Source organism: Homo sapiens, chromosome 14 (genome assembly GCF_000001405.40).
Source record: "Homo sapiens chromosome 14, GRCh38.p14 Primary Assembly".
NCBI lineage: Eukaryota > Metazoa > Chordata > Mammalia > Primates > Hominidae > Homo > Homo sapiens.
This window is the reverse complement of record NC_000014.9, coordinates 20146903-20150214: the sequence shown is the minus strand read 5'-3', so window position 1 is coordinate 20150214 and position 3312 is coordinate 20146903. Positions and strand designations below refer to the sequence as shown.

General features: G+C 32.9%; 1 pseudogene; it reads right to left on the bottom strand.

The window, feature by feature from the left end:
- On the bottom strand, positions 343–980 carry PSMB7P1 (PSMB7 pseudogene 1; annotated as a pseudogene).

The following is a 3312-nucleotide window of genomic DNA, read 5'->3' as shown; positions in this document are numbered from 1 at the left end:
TATGGCTGCATAGTATTCCATGGTATATATGTACCACATTTTCTTTGTCTATTGTACCATTGATGGGAGATGAGGTTGATTTCATGTCTTTGCTATTTTGAATAGTGAGGTGAAGAACACATGCGTGCATGTGTCATTATGGTAGGACAATTTATATTCCTTTGGGTATATACCCAATAATGGAATTGCTGGGTCAAATGGTAATTCTGTTTTAACTTTCAGAAATTGCCAAAGTGCTTTTCACATTCGCTGAACTAATTTACATTCCCACCATCAGTGGATAAGCTCTATATTTATCCTGTTGTGCTATAAAATAAATACTAGGTTTTATTCATTCTTTTCTTTTGTTTTCATTTTTTATTGAGTTTCATTCAGCAAACATAGCCAAATAAATGTCTTGCAGGAGGGCCTCCAATGGCTGCCATCTTCTACAGCAATAGCCAGCCACCCACTGACACCATTCAGAAAGTGTCCATTGGTTGGACTTTTATTCCAACGCCTCGAAAAAGTAGTGGCTTCTTTGGTGAGGACTGCAGTGGTCCCTTTTCTCACACCTGTACCTGCCAAATCTAGTCCCCTTCTTTTTGGGCACTGTGAATCGGCCAAGAAAATCTACCTTTCTCTTGCCTATAATGCTGAGATCAATGTGGCTTCCAGAGCCCAGGTTGTTGAAGAAGCCAGCTGCAGTGGCTTCACTTACCATCTTCTTTGCTTCCTCTTCTCCCATATCTGGCCTAGAATATCTTCAAATACAGCCTTTGCTGCTAAGCATCCATGGTGATGAGGCAAGTTATCAGTTTATTCATGAGGATAGATGCTGTAGAGGTGAGGTCCAGTAAAAACTCTCAATCTCCTTAAAACTAGGGCTGCACCAATGTAACCCTGATAGTTTAAAAGCATTTGCTTCAGCATCTGATTGGCCATGACAACTCAGGAAGATGGCCACTACAGATGGAGTGGAGCTCCAAGTTGGAAGAAATAAAACAATATGCTCCTGAATGACTAGTGGGTCAGTGAAGAAATTAAGAAGGAAATCAAGAAATTCCTTAAAACAAATGATAAATGAAAAACAACCTACCAAAACCTATGGGATATAGCAAAAGCAGAACAAAGAGGGAAGTTTATAACTACAAATGCTTCCTTTAAAAAGAAAAAAAACCTTCAAATAAGCAACCTAATGATTTATCTTAAAGAACTAGAAAGGCAAGAGCAAGCCAAAACCAAAATTAGCAAAAGAAAAGAAATAATAAAGAGTAGAGCAGAAATAAATGAAATTGAAATGAAGAAAACAATACAAAAAATGAATGAAACAAAAAGTTGACTTTTTTGAAAAGATAAACAAAATCAACAAAACTTTAGCCAGATTAACAAAGAGAAGACTGAAATAATTCAAATTAGAGATGAAAAAGGAGACATTATAACTGATACTACAGACATTCAAAGGATCATTAATGGCTACTATGAGCAACTATATGCTAATAAATTGGAAAATCTAGAAGAAATGAATAAATTCCTAGACACATACAACCTATCAAGATTGAACCAGAGAAAGGGAGAAAATATATGCAAAGTGCCCATCTGACAAGGGATTAAAAACCAGAATATACAAGGAGCTCAAACAACTCTATAGGAAAAAATCTATTAATCCAATCAAAATATGGGCAAAACATTTGTATAGACATTTCTCAAAAGAAGGCATAAAAATGGCAAACAGGTATATGAAAAGGTATGCAACATCATTGATCATCAGAGAGATGAAAATCAAATAACAAATATTGGTGGGGATGTGGAGAACACTTGATGGGAATGTAAATTAGTACAGCCTCTAGGGAGAACAGTTTGAAGGTTCCTCAAAAAACTACAAATAGAGTTACCTTGCAATTCAGCAATCCCACTCCTAAGTATATACCCTAGAGAAAAAAAAACAGTATATCAAAAGATATCTCCACTCCCATATTTATTGCAGTACTATTCACAGTTGCCAATATTTGGAATCAACCTAAGTGTCTATTAACAGACAAATGGATAAAGAAAATATGGTACCTATACACAATGGAGTGCCATTCAGCCATAAAAGAGAATGAGATCCTATTATTTGCCAAAACATAGATGGAATTGGAGGTCATTATGCCAAGTGAAATAAGTCAGGTACAGAAAGACAAACTTCTAATATTCTTATATATGTGTATATATGTATCTATCTATAGCAAATTACGTAAGACATCATACTATTGCTTGTATAGTCAATATTCAGTGTATACTTATTTACATATGCCAACTTATTTGCCAGTCTACTTCTTTATTTTTTCCTTTAATTTAGTGTTTTTCTCCAGGATTCTTTTATTTGAAGAACTGCTATTAATATTTATTTATTAGAAGTTCTTAGGCAACAGATTCTCTCATTTTTGTCATAAGATGCTTTATCTCATCTTTACTTAAATGATTTACTTTATCTCACATAGACATTTAGGTTGATATTATCTTCTTTCATCAATTTAAAGATGTTTTTCCATTTTTCTCTGGCTTCTGTGTTTCTTTTATGAAGAAATTTATCAGTTCCCTTTAAACTAAAGGACAGCCTCTCATCCCAGCTGCTAAGATTCTCTGTTTTTAATTTTTATTGTCACACGTTGATGTGTTTAGGTCTTTTTCATTGTTGTTTATTCTGCTTGTGGTTCACCGTGTATTTTTTTCCTGTGGCTTATTGTCTTTTATCAGGTTTTAAAAGTTATTGGTAATTCTTTCCTCAAATATTTCACCTTTCTCATTCTCTTGTTTGCCTATCCACTTGGACTTCAATTATATATATAATTACATATATATGTAATTGAAATACATATATATATGAGATTTCACTGCATCTGACACATCTCTAATACTTTTTCTTGTATTTTTCCATTTTTCCTATTTGCATTCTTAATTTTAGTATTTTTATCGATTTAACTTCCAGCACACTCTGTAGTCTTCTCCTGTGTTTAATCTGATTTTAAACTCATCTAATGAATTTTTAATTTCAAAATTTTTTAGTTCTACAATTTTCATTTACTTCTCTTTATGGATTTTAATTGGTGAAATTTGCTATCCTTTTATCTATTTATTACACCTTTTCTTCTACTGTCTTGAACATACTAGTCATGATGATTATAATGTTACGGTTATTCACTTTCATACTCTGGGTAGACTCTGATTATATTCCAATTATTTATCTTTTTTTCTTTATTTCGAAAAATTTTTCACTCTTCTGGTGTTTCTTATGATTTTTATTAAATTATGGATATTGTTTATTAAAAATGATAGGTTGTATATGCTCCA